The 18421-nt window shown below is 42.2% G+C and overlaps 1 protein-coding gene across 1 annotated transcript in view, besides 2 other annotated features; it reads left to right on the top strand.

Moving 5' to 3' along the window:
- The window catches only part of TMCC3 (transmembrane and coiled-coil domain family 3), an 83436-nt gene that overhangs the window by 13073 nt on the left and 51942 nt on the right, over positions 1-18421 (top strand). The gene's annotated exons all lie outside the window — the stretch shown is intronic.
- Positions 15443-15762: an enhancer, noted in NCBI's record as "active region_6789". NCBI's record gives its function as "activates an Ori minimal core promoter by ATAC-STARR-seq in GM12878 lymphoblastoid cells {active_cell/tissue: GM12878}" and the evidence as "EXISTENCE:reporter gene assay evidence [ECO:0000049][PMID:35858748]".
- Positions 16103-16222: an enhancer, noted in NCBI's record as "active region_6788". NCBI's record gives its function as "activates an Ori minimal core promoter by ATAC-STARR-seq in GM12878 lymphoblastoid cells {active_cell/tissue: GM12878}" and the evidence as "EXISTENCE:reporter gene assay evidence [ECO:0000049][PMID:35858748]".

Here is an 18421-nt window from a genome sequence, read left to right as displayed (position 1 = left end):
CATGCCTTTACCCACATCGCTTCGGACACAGCATGTTTTCAACTGTTTTGATCCTTGCCAATCTGATAGGTGAAAACTCCTAGCCCATTTCAATGTATATCTTTCCTGGTATGGATGAGGTTGGTCATATTTTTAAAATTTTTATTTTGAAATAATTACAGCTCTACAGAAATTTGCACAAAATAGTACAGAGATGTCCCATGTACCCCTCACCCAGCTTCTCCCAATGATTGCATTTTATGTAACTATAGTACAATAGATCATATTTTCATAGACTAAAAAGACATTTGTCTGTGTTTATGAGCTGTTTATATGTATGTTCTTGCCATTTATCTATTGGCTGTTGGTCTTTTACATAGATTTGTATTGGTTTTCTACTAATTAAATTAATTGCTTTGCAAGTACATTTTTCCCAGCTTGTCATTCCTGACTCTATTTTTTTTTTAACTGTTGTGTAACAAAGTACCATAAACTGAGCAACTTCAAAAAACAACACCCATTTAATTATCTCAGAGTTTCCATAGGCCTGGAGTCCAGCTGCAGCTTAACTGCATCATCTGCCAAGTGTGTCATCAGCCTGAAATCAAGGTGTCAACCAGGACTGCAATCTCTTCTTAAGCTTGGGATCCTTTCCCAAGCTCACTGGATATTTACAAGATTAGGTTTCTTGCAACTGTAGACCTGAGGCCCTCAGCCGCCAGAGGCTGTTCACTGTTTTCTGCCACAGGGCATGTTCCATAGCACGACAGTTTGTTTCTTCAGGGCCAATGAACAGCATCTTTGTTGCATTTTGTCTTTTACTTCTAGATCCTCTTTTAAGGAGTTCACCTGATTAGTTTAGGCCCACCTAGGCACTCTCCCTTTTGATTAATTAAAATCAACTGATTAGGGGCCTTAATTATGTCTGCAAAATTCCTTTATTTTTCCATATAACATAATGTAGCCATAGGAGTGAAATTCCATCATGTTCAAAAGTCTTGCTTGTGGGAGGGTACCATCGTGGGAATCATCTTAGAATTCTGCCTGTTGCCCTGAATTATATGTTTGGTGTGTGCTGAGCATAGAGCTAGTGGATAGCAAGCGCTGAATAAATACTAACCATATTTTGCCATGAAGAAATCTACACATTTTCTGGTTTATAGGTTTGTATCATTCTTAGAATGGCCTTTGTACTTTGAGATTTTTTAAAAGCCCACATGCCCATGTTCTCCTAATATATTTTATGATTTTTATTTTTGTATATTTGAATCTTTGAATGAGTTAGAATTATTCAATTCCTTTTCAGATGTCTATACAGTTATCCCAGGGCAATTTTTTGCATTGTTACCTGTCTTTAAAAATATACCGCTGTTCATATGTATCAAGTTTTGTTTTTATAAATGTCTACTTTTTCCATGAGTTTTAAATCTGTCGAACACAGAAGGTTGTAATTCTGCCACACTTATTCTGGATTGATAGTCCTCTTCCTCTTCCCTTCCCAACCTCTCCCCTCAGGGATTTGAAATGAACATTTTGAGGCCAGGCTCAGTGGCTTATGCATGTAATCCCAGCACTTTGGGAGGCCGAGGCAGGTGGATCACTTGAGGTCAGGAGTTCCAGACCAGCCTGACCAACATGGTGAAACCCTGTCTCTACTAAAAATACAAAAAAATTAGCTGGGCATGGTGGCGGGCACCTGTAATCCCAGCTACTCGGAAGGCTGAGACAGAATTGCTCGAACCTGGGAGGCGGAGGTTGCAGTGAGCCAAGATCGTGCCACTGCACTCCATCCAGCCTGGGCAACAGAGCCAGACTCCGTCTCAAAAAAAAAAAAAAAAAAAAAAACCCACATACACACACAAAAACAGGCATAACTCCAGTATTATTTACAGTAAGGAAAGACCAAAAGGCTGAGAGGAAAAGATAGCAAAGTTTTGTGCGTGTGTGTTTTAAAATTTTGCTTTTAATTCTCTTTTGAACTAAGTGTTACCTCTCATCAAATTCGACTTAATGTTATAAAATCCTGCCCTTCTACAGTTTGCAAACACTGTTATGGTACATAGAATGTGTATTGTTGCTTCCCAAACCACTGTTGCCACCTTAAGTAATTTGTGACACACCATCGCAGCTCGCAGCTCGGGAGATGGAAGAGCAGGAACCCAGCCTAACTTTGTGTTCTGCAGGTCACAGGACTACTGCTTCTGCTTTGTTAGCCCCAGACTGCTTTCAAGCCTGCACATTCCTCCTATTTAATAAACATATTTAATATCCTTGTGCTGGGATCTGTACTGGGAAATTTAAGTTGGTTTGTCACTTATGTTAGGATGGCGAATATAACAAGATTTCTGATTTGTAGGTAACGATCTGTTTCCTTATTTGGCTTAATTCTTACTTGTATGTTACTCCTGTGCCTTCCTAAATATCACTAGATGCGCTTGTGTTAATTATTGAACGGTCCACCTGCCTTGTATCTCTGCATCTGACACAGAAGGAGGTTAAAACTGGGCTGTGCCCAGAAACTAACACTTAACATTTTATAACCTGATTCAAGAGCATATTAAGAGTGGAATGAATATGCTATTTACATGTGCTTTCATTTGGGAAAGGCACCATGCTTGTAGAAGCCTCCTGACTTAAGCAAATTATCAAGTACTATGTGTTGCATAAAGCCAGCCAAAGCTTACCTCATGTGCTGGGCAATTTAGAGGCATTCACAGAATTGGTGTCTGTTAGGCATGTGGGCACCAAAATTAAAGTGAGTCTCTTTCATTCAGGTGGCTCATTTATGCCCTACCTGGGGAGCAGTAGGGACACTTACTTATGCAAAATCAGCATCTGTTTCTACCACCTAGAAATGCTTTTATTGTTTGGGTAGGTGGGAGCACATTAAATTCAACTATTGAGAAGTTTGACTCGCACTCTGGCTGTTTAAAATGATCTAATACCAAGAAAGTTTTTGAAGTACTCAGGGCTCAAATGAAGCTCTTATTTTTAAAGAAAGACTTAAAATGAGAGGTCTTGAGACTTGTTGCTGTTTAAGGACAGTTTTGCAAAGTGAGCCTACCATTCCAACAGACTTTTTTTTTTTAAACTTTTGTTTTTTTGGCCAAATAGGAAATGGATGAAATAGTCTTGCATTCTTGTGGCTTTCTTTAAATTAAATGTTGATCCTTCCCAACCCTCATTTCTTAAATAATTTTTTGCATGTTTGGGGTAATTAGAATGGTAACAGATAGATAAATAAGAATAATACATATACTGGGCCAGGCACGGTGGTTCATGCCTGTAATCCCAGCACTTTGGGAGGCCCAGCCGGGCGGATTGCCTGAGGTCAGGAGTTCGAGACCAGCCTGGCCAACACGGTGAAACCTCATCTCTACTAAAAATACAAAACATTAGCTGGTGATGGCGGGCACCTGTAATCTCAGCTACTTGAGATGCTGAGTTAGGGAAAATCGTTTGAACCCGGGAGGCGGAGGTTGCAGTGAGCTGAGGTCACACCATTGTACTCCAGCCTGGGCAACAGAGCGAGACTCTGTCTCAAAAAAAAAAAAAATAAAAAACAAAAAGAATAATATATATGTACTATTGAAAAACAAAGAATACCAAATCTGAATACAAAGATTATGTTAATGTTTCCTGATACTTTGGATATTTCAGAAATCACAGTTACTTGTTAGTAACTCATTCAGCGAACTGTTAGTGAATAATTCTTTAAAATAATTGCTTCTTAGTTTATTTACACAACAGCCTAAAATGAGCCTAGATATTTTTCTAGGGCAGCAAGCTTATTAACTTCTCAGTGGATTTTAATTTTCCTAAGTTTATGATTGCTGTGGTTGTTAATTTAAGGTTGAAGTTAATGTAGAAGTAAATGCAGTGACATCAGATTCCAAAATTATAAGGTAATGAAATGGCCCATCAGAAACAGCAACTGTTTCACAAAGAGGGGCAAATGTTTGGTGCCTGGAGAAAACCGTAATCATTAACCAAGTGGCTCTGTGATTAAATAGTAAGCAGACAAATTGAATTATTAAGTGCTTCAAACATGGAAAAAAATTTTAAAACTATGATACCCATATATCTGCCTCCTAGATTTAATGAATGTTGACATTTTGCCATGTTTACATCAAATTTCTGTCACTTGTTTTTAAGAAATAAATGGTCCCATAAACAGCTATCTAGATGCCTTTCTCTCTTCCTGCTTCCTCAGAGGCCTCCATAACCTGAAGCTGTGTATCATTCCTTTGCGTGTTTTCACACACTGGATGAATCCATAAACAATTTATTGTATTACATGTATTTAATTAAATATATGTATTCTTGGGTTACAATTCTGCATACATGGCATCTCTTGTAAATACAATTTTTCTTTTCTTTTCTTTTCTTTCTTTTCTTTTTTGAGACAGTCTCACTCTGTCACCCAGGCTGCAGTGCAATGGTGCAATCTCGGCCCACTGCGTCTTCCACCTTTCAGGTTCAAGTGATTCTCCTGCCTCAGCCTCCCAAGTAACGAGGACTGCAGGTGCGCACCACCATGCCCAGCGAATTTTGCATTTTTAGTAGAGATGGCGTTTCACCCTGTTGGCCAGGCTGGTCTTCAACTCCTGACCTCAAGTGATCTGCCTGCCTCGGCTTCCCAAAGTGTTGGAACACCATGCCCAGCCTTGTAATTACAGTTTTCTAATGTGGTATTTTTATAATTTATCCTACTTCATTTTCATATTTTACTGCTGTATGTTATTTTGCTACATGAATAAAACCAGAGTGTATTTACAGCCATTCTTCTAATGGCAAACAGGTAGGTTGATTCTGGGACAGTCTCTGTACTCGTGGGAGAGTTTCTTAAGGGGAGATACCAGGAAGTGACATTGCTAGGGCAAAGAAAAAAGAACTTCTTCAACTTTGACATCCATTCTTAAAGAGCTTTCTCAAGTACTGTAATCACTGCTGTACTTACAGTAGTGATTTTTTAAGGCCACATTTTAATATCTGTAAGAGAAAATTTTTATGATGCTGATAGATTGTCTATGTAGGTGTTGAATGGTATTTGTATGTAGTTTGTGTACTTTAATTTTACCTGAAAGCAAATATAAAGTTATTCTGAATTTGCTATTAGGCAGTTTTTGTACCTAGTCAATAATTTTACATCTCTATTCTTGTTAATGCCTAATAAAGCAAATGTGTCAATATTTATTGAGATAAATTTACATACAGTAAAATTTCCTGCTTTAAGTGCACAGTCCTATGAATTCTGAAGAACACATACAGTCTTATAACCCACATTCAATTAAGATGTAGAATATTTCTATCACCCCGGAAAGTTCTCTTTCGCCTCTTTATAGTCAGCCTTCTCTCTGCTTAGCACCTGACAGTTACTGATCTCATTTCTGTCCTTACAGTTTTGCTTTTTCATAATGCAGTATAAATGGAATCATGTGATACGCAGCCTTTTTGAGTGTGGCTTCTTTCATTTAGCATAATGCTTTTGCAATTGCATGTTGTTGCATGTAACAGGAGTTCATTCCTTTTTATTCGTGAGTAGTGTCAATATACTTTTAAGAGTAATGCATCTATGAACAGAGATGAAGAAGGCTGAAATCCCACACCTCATCTGTTTTTCTGAACTTACCTGTTTTTTCATGTTACTACTGCAGCATTATGAAAAGTTTGGAGCGTCAGTTTCCACAGTTAGAAAGTAGGTTAGTTTGTAATCCTGTTACTTTTTAAATGTTGTTTTGTTACTTCAGAATAGAAAAGGTTATACATTAAACACTGCTATATATATTACATGAGATTAGGGCCAGTGTTGTCTTAACCTAATGTGATAATTTGCTAGGGCTGCTTTGACAAAGTATCCCAGACTGGGTAGCTTAAACAATACATTTATTTTCATGCAGTTCTGGAGGCTGGAAGTCTGAGATCAAGGTGTTGGCAGAGCTAGTTTCTTCTGAGAACCAGGAGGGAAAGAGCTGTTCCAGGCCTCCCTCCTGGGCTTGTAGGTGGCCGTCTTTCTCCTGTCTTCACATCATTTTCCCTCTACGTGTCTGTGTCCAGATTTTCTCTTCTTATAAGGTCATCAGTCAAATGGCATTAGGGCCCACCCTAATGATCTCATTTGAGCCTAATTACCTCTTTAAAGTCCCTATCTTGAAATACGGTTACATTGTGAGGTAGTGGGGGTTAGGATTTCAGTATGAATTTTTAAGAGTACACAAATCAGCCCATATCCCCTAGGCTTTGTGGATTTGATGTGTGTGTGTGCATACGTGCATATTTCTAGGGAGAGGTTCCATAGCTTTCTTTGGAATGATTCTCAGTTGTGGCAGAAAACCGTTTAAAAAGATGAGGAAGAACTGGTCTAAAGTGAGCTCTTGTTTCAGAAGTAAAACCATCAATGTTATAAAAATATATTTTTTGACATGTCAAGTGGTTATGCTTTTATGTTGATTGAAAACATTTATGCCGGGCACCGTGGCTCACGCATGTAATCCCAGCACTTTGGAAGGGATCCCAGCACTCTGGGAGGTGGGCAGATCACTTGAGGTCAGGAGTTTGAGACCAGCCTGGCCAGTATGGTGAAACCCTGTCTCTACTAAAAATACAAAAATTAGCTGGGTGTGATGGCGGGTGCCTGTAATCCCAGCAACTTGGGAAGCCAAGGCACGAGAATCGCTTGAACCCGGGAGGTGGAGATTGCAGCGGGCCAGTTTGGTGCCACTGCACTCCAGCCTGGGCGACAGAGCGAGACTTTGCCTCAAAAACAAAACAAAACAAAACAAAAACACAAAACGTTTACAAGATATACGCAGAAAGTACCATTTTTGTTTAAAAAGTGCCACATACAAGTAGAATATTAATGAAGCTAGCATAAATGGGTAGGAGTGCCATTGCCAGCACTATGACAAGGCTCCACCTGGGTTAAAACAGCTCTCATGCAGTGCCAAGAAAGAGACACAACTATCCTCCTGTTAGGAAAGAAGAACTGAGGCTCAAACAGGGGTTAAGCGACTTGTCCAGGATCATCCCACTAAGTGAAAAGGCTAGAACCTGAACCCAGGTAGCTCTGCGTTCCAGAGCCTGTGCCCCTAAACCAGTAGACAGAACCACCCAGACATCTGCAAGGATGGCCTCATAAAAACCTAAATGTAGGCCCGAGCTACCTCCAGGTCAGGTCATGGGATGATGGGGGTTTTATTTTCCTCCTCTGCCTTTTCTGTATCTTTGTATCTTCTTTTTTTTTTTTTTTGGGACAGAGTCTTGCTCTCTATCACCCAGGCTGGAGTGCAGCGACACGTTCTTGGCTCACTGCAACCTCCACCTCCTGGGTTCATGTCTCAGCCTCCCAAGTAGCTGGGACTACAGGAGCCTGCCACCATGCCTGGCTAATTTTTGTATTTTTTGTACAGACGGGGTTTTGCCATGTTGGCCAGGCTGGTCTCGGACTCCTGACCTCAAGTGATTTGCCTGCCATAGCCTCCCAAAGTGTTGGGATTACAGGCATGAGCCACCACGCCTGGCCTGTATCTTCATATCTTTTGTAAAACAAGCATATTTTGCAATTAAATGTTAAATGGGCATATATAACTTCTATTTAAAATAAATTTAAACAGAGTGATAATGATAGTCAAATAGCAGGGTCTCCATTTGAACCTTATTCGAAATTTGAATGATCAGCCTTTGTCCTGAAAAGAAGATAAATCACATTTATGCTATTATTTTCTAAGTTATTCTTAATTTTGCTCCAGGTCTGGGGAAGGGTTGGTGGTCAAGACTTTTGACCCAGGGATGGGAGCTCATGGCAACACTGTGCTGTAGGTGTCCCGAGCTCATACCTCAGAGCTTTGATCTAGAATTCTCCCCTGGCTTTCTTCTCCGACAGGGCCAATTAGAAGCAGGGTAGGCCCGATCGTGAGGTCTCAGTAGAAAATGTAAGGGGAGGCTGCTTTACCCCAGAGTGCCCTCCATCACCCTTGGTGCTTCACGGTGTGCCCAGCACTGTGCGAGGCCCTGAGATCAGTCAGATGTGGGCACTGCCCTCAAGGAGCTCAGGCTGGGGAGGACAGACCCACAGACAGATAATAATGATGCAGAGTGGCAGGGACAGTTCTCCATGGGGTCCTGGCTTCTCATGGATCCTCCCAAGGAAGAACTCCCCCAGAGTCCACCCTGAGAGACTCTAGACTGGAGGACTGGGTGTTGGCTGTTAAGCCTTCCTGGCCCACCCTCCCTTCCTGCTTGGACCCTCCTGCAGGGATGTCTCTTGTTGTTTGTAGGACATTGTTGGTAGAGGACAGATGGTATCAATTTTCAAGGCTTCGGTTCACCTGTGATTAGCCTTTGATAAGTATTTTGTATATGTGTGTATATATTTATATCCTTGTGCCGAGGAAATACTAAATCATGAGCGTCATAGCTAGGTTCTTTGATTTGACTCAGATGGAAGAAGGATGCTGCAGAAGAGGGAGGAACAGGAATGTTAATTGTCATGGCAACCAGCAGGTTTTTATAGTGGAACACTGCCTTTGTAACCCAAATCCATCACCTTTTTTCTAACTACAGAAAACAGAATGACGCAAACTCAAGAAATTATAGTGCCATCTCTCAGTGAGGTTTTATTTGCTGTTTGGAAGCAATCTTGCAGTGATTTTAGTCCCTTCGTAGAATTTCAGAGCAGAACGGCACCCTTTAAGTGCCCTAGAATTTTACAAAAGTCACGCGCTTATGGCTTTCCCATTATTTGTCATCCCCATTTCTCCACCACCAGTCTAACCCACAAGGGACTTAGCATGAGGATGAGTTTAGAGCTGGCAGACATTGTACCTTCTGCAGCACAGGCTCCCCTTTGGAAAGGGTCCATCTCGCTGTTGCACTGTTTTTGCTGTTTGACCTTGTGCAGCCTTGTTGCGCTTGTTTCCTCACCATCCAGCAGACACTGCGATGCTTAGAATAGCTCACTCCTGCCAGTCATTCTGTAGGCAGGTTCAGAGTTCACCCTTTGCTGCCTGAGACCTCTTGGAGAATTGAACCCGTGTGCCTGTCATTGGTAGCTCTGGTGAGGTTTCATAGATGGGGAGTATGAGAAGGTCAGTGTAAGAAAAGAGCCCTTTTGTGGATAGGTGGAGCTTCACCAGGGAAAACAGAGATGCCCCCAAGCCTCCAGGCGGGTTTTTTATTGATGAGCACTTTGGGCAGAGAAGACAAAAAGGTAGGCTGCTCTTTGCCTCCCCTAATGTCCTGGCCCAAGGAGTCCCCTTCACCCAGGACCACACCTTGAGGTTGAGTAGCATTGAGGTTAGTGGTACCTATGTCTCCACAACATGTGGTATGGAAAAGGAGTCACTCGGGCACCTTTCATGGCACTGAATTTAAGAACGGGCTCCTTTTAGCTCTTTGGGTTGGATAATTGTCTCTTCATTGCCCAACCTTCCACCAAGTCAGGAGCGGGCTATGTGGTACGTCAGGCCAGAGTCCATTCATGAGCAATACAGATGTGGATTGTACTTAAAATGATTGGGCTTTCAGCCCAATTCAGTACATTCATTCAGTAAATGTGTATTGAGCACCTACTATGTGCTAGGCATCTCAGGGAACAAAACAAAAATCCCTACCCTTGTGGAATATGTATTCTGGTAGGGCAAGGCAGACAAGCCAGACCTATACATAAAATATATAGTATGTTAAATGTGGATAAGTGCAATGCTGAGAAATAGACAAGAGGGCTGGGGAGGCCCAAGGTGGAGGTAGAGGGAAGAAGTTTTAAACAGGACACTCAAAGAAAGCTCTTGTCAGGGGAAACATTGAGAAAAGACCTGGGAAGTAAGCTGTGCAGCCATCTAAGGGAGGAACATTCCAGGGCAGGAAAACAGCATGCATGGACTCCTTGATAAAGCAGTGTGCCTGTTGTGTTTGAGGCACAGCAAGGAGGCTGTGTGGCTGGGGCAGTGTGAGCAGGGAGTTGAGTCCTGGGACATGGGGTCTGAGAGGTGGTGGGGAGGCCAGTTCCTGAGCCAGTAGAGGCCTTGCAAGGATCTCCCGGGCTGTTGGATTGAAAAGAAATTGTAGGTGGGCATGGGCTGGCCCAGGTAGACCTGTAGGAGTGATGAGAGTGGCTTGGACTAGAATGTTGATAGTGGAGGTGATGAGAAGCGGTCAGGTCTTCTAAATGCAGGCTGTGGTAAAGCCCTCCCCTAGTGTGCTGACAGCTGTGCATGGTGAAGTGAGGAAGCAGCATGGTGCCAGGGCTTTGGGGGCAACAGGCCTGGTTTTAAAATCCTGGCTCTTACAAGCTGTATGAAATCATCTTAGCCAGTTTGCTTAACCCATTTGAGCTTCAGTTTCCATAAGTGTGGCTGGGTGTGGTGGCTCACACCTGTAATCCCAGCATCTTGGGAGGTGGGCAGATCACTTGAGGTCAGGAGTTCGAGACCAGCCTGGCCAACATGGTGAAACCCCCATCTCTACTAAAAATACAAAAATTAGCCTGGTGTGGTAGTGCACACCTTTAGTCCCAGCTACTCAGGAGGCTGAGCCAGGAGAATTGTTTGAATCCAGGAGGTGGAGGTTGCAGTCAGCCAAGATCACACCACTGCACTCCAGCTTAGGCGACAGAACAAGAAGACCCTGTCAAAACAAACAAACAAACAAACAATAACAACAACAACAAAAACAAATTAAGTGTAATTGTTTCCCTATAAGGATGTGGAAGGCTTATGTAAGATAACGTAAATACAAGGTCGTCCCTGAGTCCCTTTCTCAGTTCATACCTGGCTTGGGTGCTCTTCTACCCAACCTGTGCCCAAGTCTGCATGAGCCGTGGCATCCTTGTAACTTGTGACTCACTTGTCCCTCTCTACCCAGAGGTGGGCAGAGATTGCAGAATAAATGGGTAGAGAAATGGAAGGAAGCATGAAAGGAAAGAAATAATGCATTAAGAATTTCATGCATTGATATTGGTATAATATTTGAGTTCACTATTTCAACAGAAAGCAGGACTTTTTTTCCCCAGGGTTCAGTGTTTAATACATCAAAGGATTTGTAAGGCCTTGGCTACATTAATTTAAATAAGTCTAATCAGGGAAGACATGTACTCTTGTTTCTGTGTTTCAAAATTTATCTTCTCTCTACTTTTGGCTTGTGAAAAATGTTTGTTTGAAGATGCTAATTGGTGTTTTTACTTAGGTGTTCTTTAAGAATAAAGATTTTGTTAGCAGATGATACGGTTTGTCTGTGTCCCCAACCAAATCTCATCTCAAATTGTAATCCCCACATGTCGAGGGAGGGAAGTGATTGGATTATGGGGGCGATTTCCCCCATGCTGTTCTCGTGATAGTGAATGAATTCTCACAAGATCTGATGGTTTTATAAATGGTAGTTTTTTCTGCGTTCACACATGCGTTCTCTCTTGCCTGCCTCCATGTAAGACGTGCCTGCTTCCCCTTCCGCCATGTTTGTAAGTTTCCTGAGGCCTCCCCAGCCATGCGGAACTGTGAGTCAATTAAACCTCTTTCCTTTATAAATTACCCAATCTCGGGTAGTATCTTTATAGCAGTGTGAGAACAGACTAATACAGCAGATTTTATCAACATTCTGAGGAAATTTTTACCTCAACATTTTATTATGAAAATCTCAAACAAATGCGTACAAAATACAAAGGTAATAATTTAAATGAATGTTAACTGAAGTTACTGGTGCTCTAGATCGCTCCCCATGTGTCAGTACAGTAGTGACTGCTGCAGGGCAGGTTTTCTGTGGAATTTGGAATGCTTCTGTTGCCTCCTGGATGATGGAAAGCCTCAACCCTTGCGTAACTTTTCTGTTAGAAAAATTGTGTGTGGTGACACCTTCGTTCACGGTGAGACTATTTGCCCTTCTGGAACTGCCATATCATTTACTTTTTTTTTTTTTTTTTTGAGATGGAGTCTTGCTCTGTTGCCCAGACTGGAGTGCAGTGGCACGATTTCTGCTCACTGCAACCTCCATCTCCCAGATTCAAGCCGTTCTCCTGCCTCAGCCTCCTGAGTATTTGGGACTACAAGCGTGCACCACCACGCCTGGCTAATTTTTGTATTTTTAGTAGAGATAGGGTTTCACCGTGTTGGCCAGACTGGTCTAGAACTCCTGACCTCAGGTTCAGGTGATCTGCCTACCTCAGCCTCCCAAAGTGCTGGAATTACAGGAATGAGCCACTACGCCCAGCCCATTTACTATTAAAGTCAGTGTTATCGTTTGACCTGTGTCCCCCACCAAAAGATATGTTGAAGTCCTAACCACCACTACCTCACAACATTACCTTATTTGGAAATACAGTCTTTACAGAGGTAATCAAACCTCTGTAAAAAAAAAATTTTTTTTTTTTTTTTTGAGATGGAGTTTCGCTCTTGTTGCCCAGGCTGGAATGCAATGGTGCAATCTCGGCTCACTGCAACCTTGGCCTCCCGGATTCAAGCGATTCTCCTGCCTCAGCCTCCCCAGTAGGCAAGGAGGGAGGGGTGTGTCACCACACCCAGCTAATTTTTTGTATTTTTAGTAGAGACAAGGTTTCACCATGTTGACCAGGCTGGTCTCGAACTCCTGACCTCAAGTGATCCACCCGCCTCGGCCTCCCAAAGTGCTGGGATTACAGGCATGAGCCACCGCACCTGGCCCATTTTCGAACATTTTCATCAGCTCAGAAAGATACCCTTAGCAGTTATTCTTCATTTCCCCCTCTCTTAAAAGGTTCACGCATGTTGTAGCATGAATCAGTACTTTATTTCTTTTTATGGCTGAACAATATATTTTTTTTTAATTTTGAGACAGAATCTCACTGTAGCCCAAGCTGGAGTGCAGTGGTGTGATCTCGGCTCACTGCAACCTCTGCCTCCCAGACTCAAGTGATTCTCGTGCCTCAGCCTCCTGAGTAGCTGGGACTACAGGCGTACGCCACCACGCCTGGCTAATTTTTTCGTTTTTTAGTGGAGACGGGTTTTCACCATGTTTCCCAGGGTGGTCTCAAACTCCTGAGCTCAGACGATCCACCTGCCTCAGCCTCCCAAAGTGCTGGGATTACAGGCATGAGCCACCATGCCTGGCCATGGCTGAATAATATTTCATTGTATGGATATGTGACATTTGGTGGACATTTGGGTTGTTTTCACTTTTTGGCTATGAAGAATAATGTTGCTATGAACACTTCTGTGTAAGTTTTTGTGGGGGTATATGTTTTTATTTCTCTTGGGTACATACCTAGAAGGAGTGTTGCTGGGTCATATGGTAATTCTGTTTAACCTTTGGAGGAACTGCCAGAGTGTTTTCCAAAGTGGTTGCACCAGTTTATATTCCCACTACCAGTGTATGAGGGTTCTGATTTCTCCACATCCTCACCAGTGCTTATTATTATCTGTCTTTTAATTACAGCCATCCTAGTAAGTATGAAGTGGTATCGTATTGCAGTTTTGGGTGATTTTAAAAATTTCTTTTAATGAAAGCAGTTGTTATAATCTTTGTACATGAAATAGGTAAATTTTCTTTAGCTGAGAGGCTGGTATAATTAATAATATAAATTATAACTTTTGTGGCTTGCCACATTCCTTCTTACTAGTCATTTCTTGAAGCTGGTTGTCCAAAACCAGGTTGGAGAAACTGTTGTGGTTTGCATGGCTTGACTTTTACTTTGCCGATGGTACTGCACATGAAAAGGCCACCCAGAGCTTCCTGGTCCTCCCCACCATGAGGTCCAGGGTTGGAAGGCTCTGGGCCGTGGCCCAACCTCTGGAAGGGTGTAATGGGTGCCTAGCCCACACGTGTTTCCTTAGGCAAGTAGCCAGGGCATTTATTCGGGATTCCCCCAAGGGGTAGCTGGTGTTGTATAGACGTGGTGGTAGTTGTACGTGGGTGTAGCCAGACTGGCCCCTGTGCCGGTAAAGATGGACACCGTGCTCTCTTTACAGCCAAGCTTTACAGGCTGTGAATTCGCTCCTGAAGAATAAGAAGCATAACAAAATGTACAACACCTGTGAGAGCAGAAATAAGTGCTGGTTGAATGAAGGAATAGCTCTGGCTTTGGGAGCCAGGCAGCATTCTAGCCTGGTAGCTTGAACAAGCTGCTTAAGTACTTAAGCTTTCTGAGCCTTGGTCCCTCATCTGCCAAACAGAGGTGGCATTGCCTCAGTTACAGGGTCCTGACGTGATGACGTAAAAGTGCCCAGCTCATGGTAGGCACTCAACAAATGTTAATTCTCTTCCCTTAAGTAGCTCTGCTCAGTCCACTCTGCTTAGTCTCAGATTTTTTTTTTTTTTCCTGCAGATTTAGTCCAGGTCCAGAACACAGGATTGATTGTATTGTTTAGAATATCTTTTCTTTTCAGAGAAATAATGAGCTCTTGGCAACATTAAGTATTGATGGAAATGAATATTGCAATTTGGCAGCTGCTGATTGACACATGTTTGCTAAACAGCTACTCAAATTTCAGAAAGCTTGCCTAGAAGAAGAAGAAAAGTAAGATATCCCAAGAATATTTTTTACCTTCTTTGCCTAGGTATTTATTTGTAAAATCATTTTCTTTGGAAAGTTCCAGCTGAAACATGAGCTAGCTTTGGCTGAAGAGTTCAGGTGAGCCTACATAAAAGATTAAACTTCAGTAAATACAGAAGTGTTGAGGTTTTTTTGGAGCCTCTTTGCCTTGTAATTTTTTTTTTTTTTTTAAGAAAGAGCTGGTCTTTTGGTCACTGGGTCTTTTTTTATATCTGCAGGGAAGTCATAGTAACAGGCTCCGTGTCTGATTGGGTTCCATGGCAACAAAGGGTTGTGACTTTATTAAAGGAGAGTTGAGCATGCCAAGAAAGATAAAAATCAGAGTATGGAAAATGTCCGACCAGATGAATGTGTTTTTTGGATCACATGTGCCCTGGACTAGAAAGGTTTCCTGAGTCGACATCAGTCTCCATTACAGATTTGAATCGCACTGGGTTATCATTAAGGTCATAGGGATCAGTGCTTATTTTAAAAAAGAAATCCATCTACTTCTTTGCTTTTACCCATTCATTCTTCCTTTTTTAATGTCTCGGTATATTTACAAAAATCAAAACAGTGATGGTAAGTACCTAACAAGAGAGGATTCTGGCTTTTCAAGGGAGAAAAGAAATATAACATATTCTTTGTGGAACTGATTATAGCTGTATGTTGTGAGATCGTGTGGGAGGGCCAATTAGAGGCAATTATATCTCGATTGAACTCTCCCTGAATTAAAGCTTGCTGGATGCTTTCCAAGCTTGGGGGGTTTGGTTTCCCATCCATGTTTCTCTTTGATGGGTTTGGAGATCCTGGTTTCAGGCCATGGGTGTGGAGTACTCCTCTCTCCCAAAAGTAAGGAGCAGGCTGTTGCCATAACCAAAAGTGTGTGGTAATTAGAGGTCTTTTGCTGAAGGTACTAATATTTGACCAAGAAATGGTGTGATCCGAAAACTTTGAATTGTCCTGTGTTCCCGCTTCACCTGGTTGTTAACTGTGTGGGGCTGGGTTTACTTTTCTATGAAATGTACAATTGTATATTTCTCCTACTGATACTGAAAGTGAAAGAATTCCGAGGGCAGGTTGACGTTGGACACTTTACCATGTCAGTCATCCTTTAAACCAGTGGTGCGTTCTGACATGCCCCTGGGTTCAGGCTTTATTAATCACTTGGGGCCTCTTCCTGGTGAATCAGAAACTGCACAGATACTGGGGCTCTCATGATTACACATAATATAACAAGCAGTATTGGTCTAAGAGGGAAGAATTAGCTCACCAGGTTTCACAGCTCCCAGCTATCATTAATCAGCTATAAGTCCTTGGTGAAATCACTTAAACTTCTTGGGCCTTGATTTCCTTATCTTAAAATGAGTTTGACCTAAATTGGTGTTTCCTAACTTTCCTGTTTAGATAAAGAACCTGGGGTACTGCAGAACCTCCAGTAGAGATTTCCTGATTCACTGGTCTGGGGAGTGGGAAAGATCACTGGGGCTCCATCCACTCTTAACAATTTGGTGTTCGGGATATACTGATCTAGCTCAATAGTTTCAAACTACTTGGACATAAGAATGGGGTGGAGGTGGGAGGTAGAAAGGCGGCTGTCAGATGCACAGTCCAGGTTCTGTCCCTGAGATTGCCTGAAGCTGTAGCTTGAGAAACACCAGCCCCAAAGGCTCTTCCACATACTGGTCCTCACTTCCTCGAAGGAGCCAGAAGAGCTGTGTCAACTGAGAGAGCCTGGTGGGTTTGCTTACCCGCAGTGTTAACTCTAAACCCCATATCAGTGTTTGAGAAAGTTACTTATTTTAAAATCTTAGAGTACTGCAATAGTTTGTTCATAGAATTCTCTGTGCTGTGTTTCTTTTGGATAACACAGCGTTTTCTAAGCATGGTTACTTTAGGTGTGCACGAGGCAATGCCAGCCACATCCAAATTACCTGTGGAGCTTGTTAAAAAATATACAGAAGATTCAATGTGTCCTTCATAGGGCCTGGGCATCAATCTTGCTTAAGACCTGAAGGATTTTGTGTTCTTTTTAAGGTTTAGGGCAAAACCTTACAAACTGACCCTACCCTAATTTCCTCAGTGAAATCGACTTTAAGTATAAACACGCATGTTTAGCACAAGGGGAATGGTTTACATTGAGCCACTTAGATTGTAGAAGAGTCAGCAACACATAAAGTGCCTTAGAGAAAAATACCCTGACCTGGTTAATGATTAAACCATTAACTGCTAAAGCAGACCCATTCTAATGTATATCTGGTCTATACAGTTTCTATTTGTGCCTAGTTTTTCTAGTTCGTGTTTAGCAAAGATTAAGTGATATTGTTTAATGAAGTGTTTAGTAGCTCTAAATGATAAAGGTTCACATTTTTTTCTATTAAGTAGCTTAAGTGTGAATTCATTTGAAAAAAAAAAAATTCCACAGGCCCTGCACAGTAGCTCATGCCTGTAATCCCAGCACTTTGGGAGGCCGAGGCAGATGGATCACCTGAGGTCAGGAGTTCAAGACTAGCCTGGCCAACATGGTGAAACCCTGTCTCTACTAAAAATACAAAAATTAGCTGGGCATGGTGGTGGGCTCCTGTGATCCCAGCTACTCGGGAGGCTGAGGCAGGAGAACCGCTTAAACTTGGGAGGCGAAGGTTGCAGTGAGCCGAGATCGCGCCATTACACTCCAGCCTGGGCGACAGAGCAAGACTCTGTCTCAAAAAAAAAATAATAATTATTAAAAAAAAAAAATTTCCACAGTACTAAAGGGCTTAAAGCAAAATTAAAGTGTCTTTTTCCAGCTTCTTGTCCTTTTCCCCAGAGATAGCAATGATAATAATGTTATGTTTCTTTTTTTTTCTTGAGACAGTCTCGCTTTTGTTGCCCAGGCTGGAGTGCAATGGCACTATCTTGGCTCGCCGCAACCTCCGCCTTCCGGGTTCAAGCGATTCTTCTGCCTCAGCCTCCCCAGTAGCTGTGATTACATGCACCCGCCACCACGCCCAGCTAATTTTGCATTTTTAGTAGAGACAGGGTTTCTCCATGTTGGTCAAGCTGGTCTCGAACTCCCGACCTCAGGTTATCCACCTGCCTCGGCCTCCTGAAGTGTTGGGACTATAGGCGTGAGCTACTGCGCCTGGCTGCAATGTTATGTTTCTTATGTGTCTTTACAGAAATAGTCTTGACACAAAATATACATATCTATTATTTATTTAACCAGTCGCCTATTGATATGCGATTTAAGTTCCTCCCAGGATGATGTTTTTTCATGTTTCTTTTGCTTTGTAATACTGTATTGAAAACTTGTGTACATTTTTCTCTATAACCATATTTAGATAAATTTCCAAAAGCAAAACTGTTAGGTCAAAGGGCATGTGCCTTTTAAATGAGAATAGAGGCAAACACATTGTCCTCCCAAAGGTTGCACCAATTTGTAGGATAAATCTTTTATTTTCAGAAGGATTCCTGGGCTCAGCTGAGTCTGATGCAGCAGGCAGCTATCCATGTCTACTAACCACAGGAAACTCAGGGGCCTCTGCCTGGAGGAATGACATGAGCTATGAGAAAGAGGAGAATGTAAAAGGTGTTTAAAGAGTTCAGAGAGAGAAAAAGCTAGGGACTGGCTTAGTAGGGAATCCTGAATTTACAAGGAGAGTGCTTTGGGTCATAGGTTGCAGGTCCTGATCTGGGTTTTGAAGAAAGTAAGGCAGCCCTGGGGCATAAGGTAATAGTGAGAAAATCCTGCTCTAGATCAGGCAAACCATTTCCTGGATGTGACCTGCTCCTGTAGTAGAAGCCGTAAAGCAATTTTGAGTGAAGCATCATAATAGCACGGAGATGCTGTTCATTTTAAACACCACCTCCAGTGTGAGTCATGGTGGAGTCAGACGTGTGTAAGTGTGTGTAATGCATATGTCAAAGTCATGTTTAAAGGGAAAGGATTACGTCTCAGTAGTCTCT

The sequence above is a fragment of the Homo sapiens genome, chromosome 12 (assembly GCF_000001405.40).
Source record: "Homo sapiens chromosome 12, GRCh38.p14 Primary Assembly".
Lineage (NCBI taxonomy): Eukaryota > Metazoa > Chordata > Mammalia > Primates > Hominidae > Homo > Homo sapiens.
Note: the sequence above shows the minus strand (reverse complement) of the source record. Positions and strands in the feature narration are given on the sequence as shown.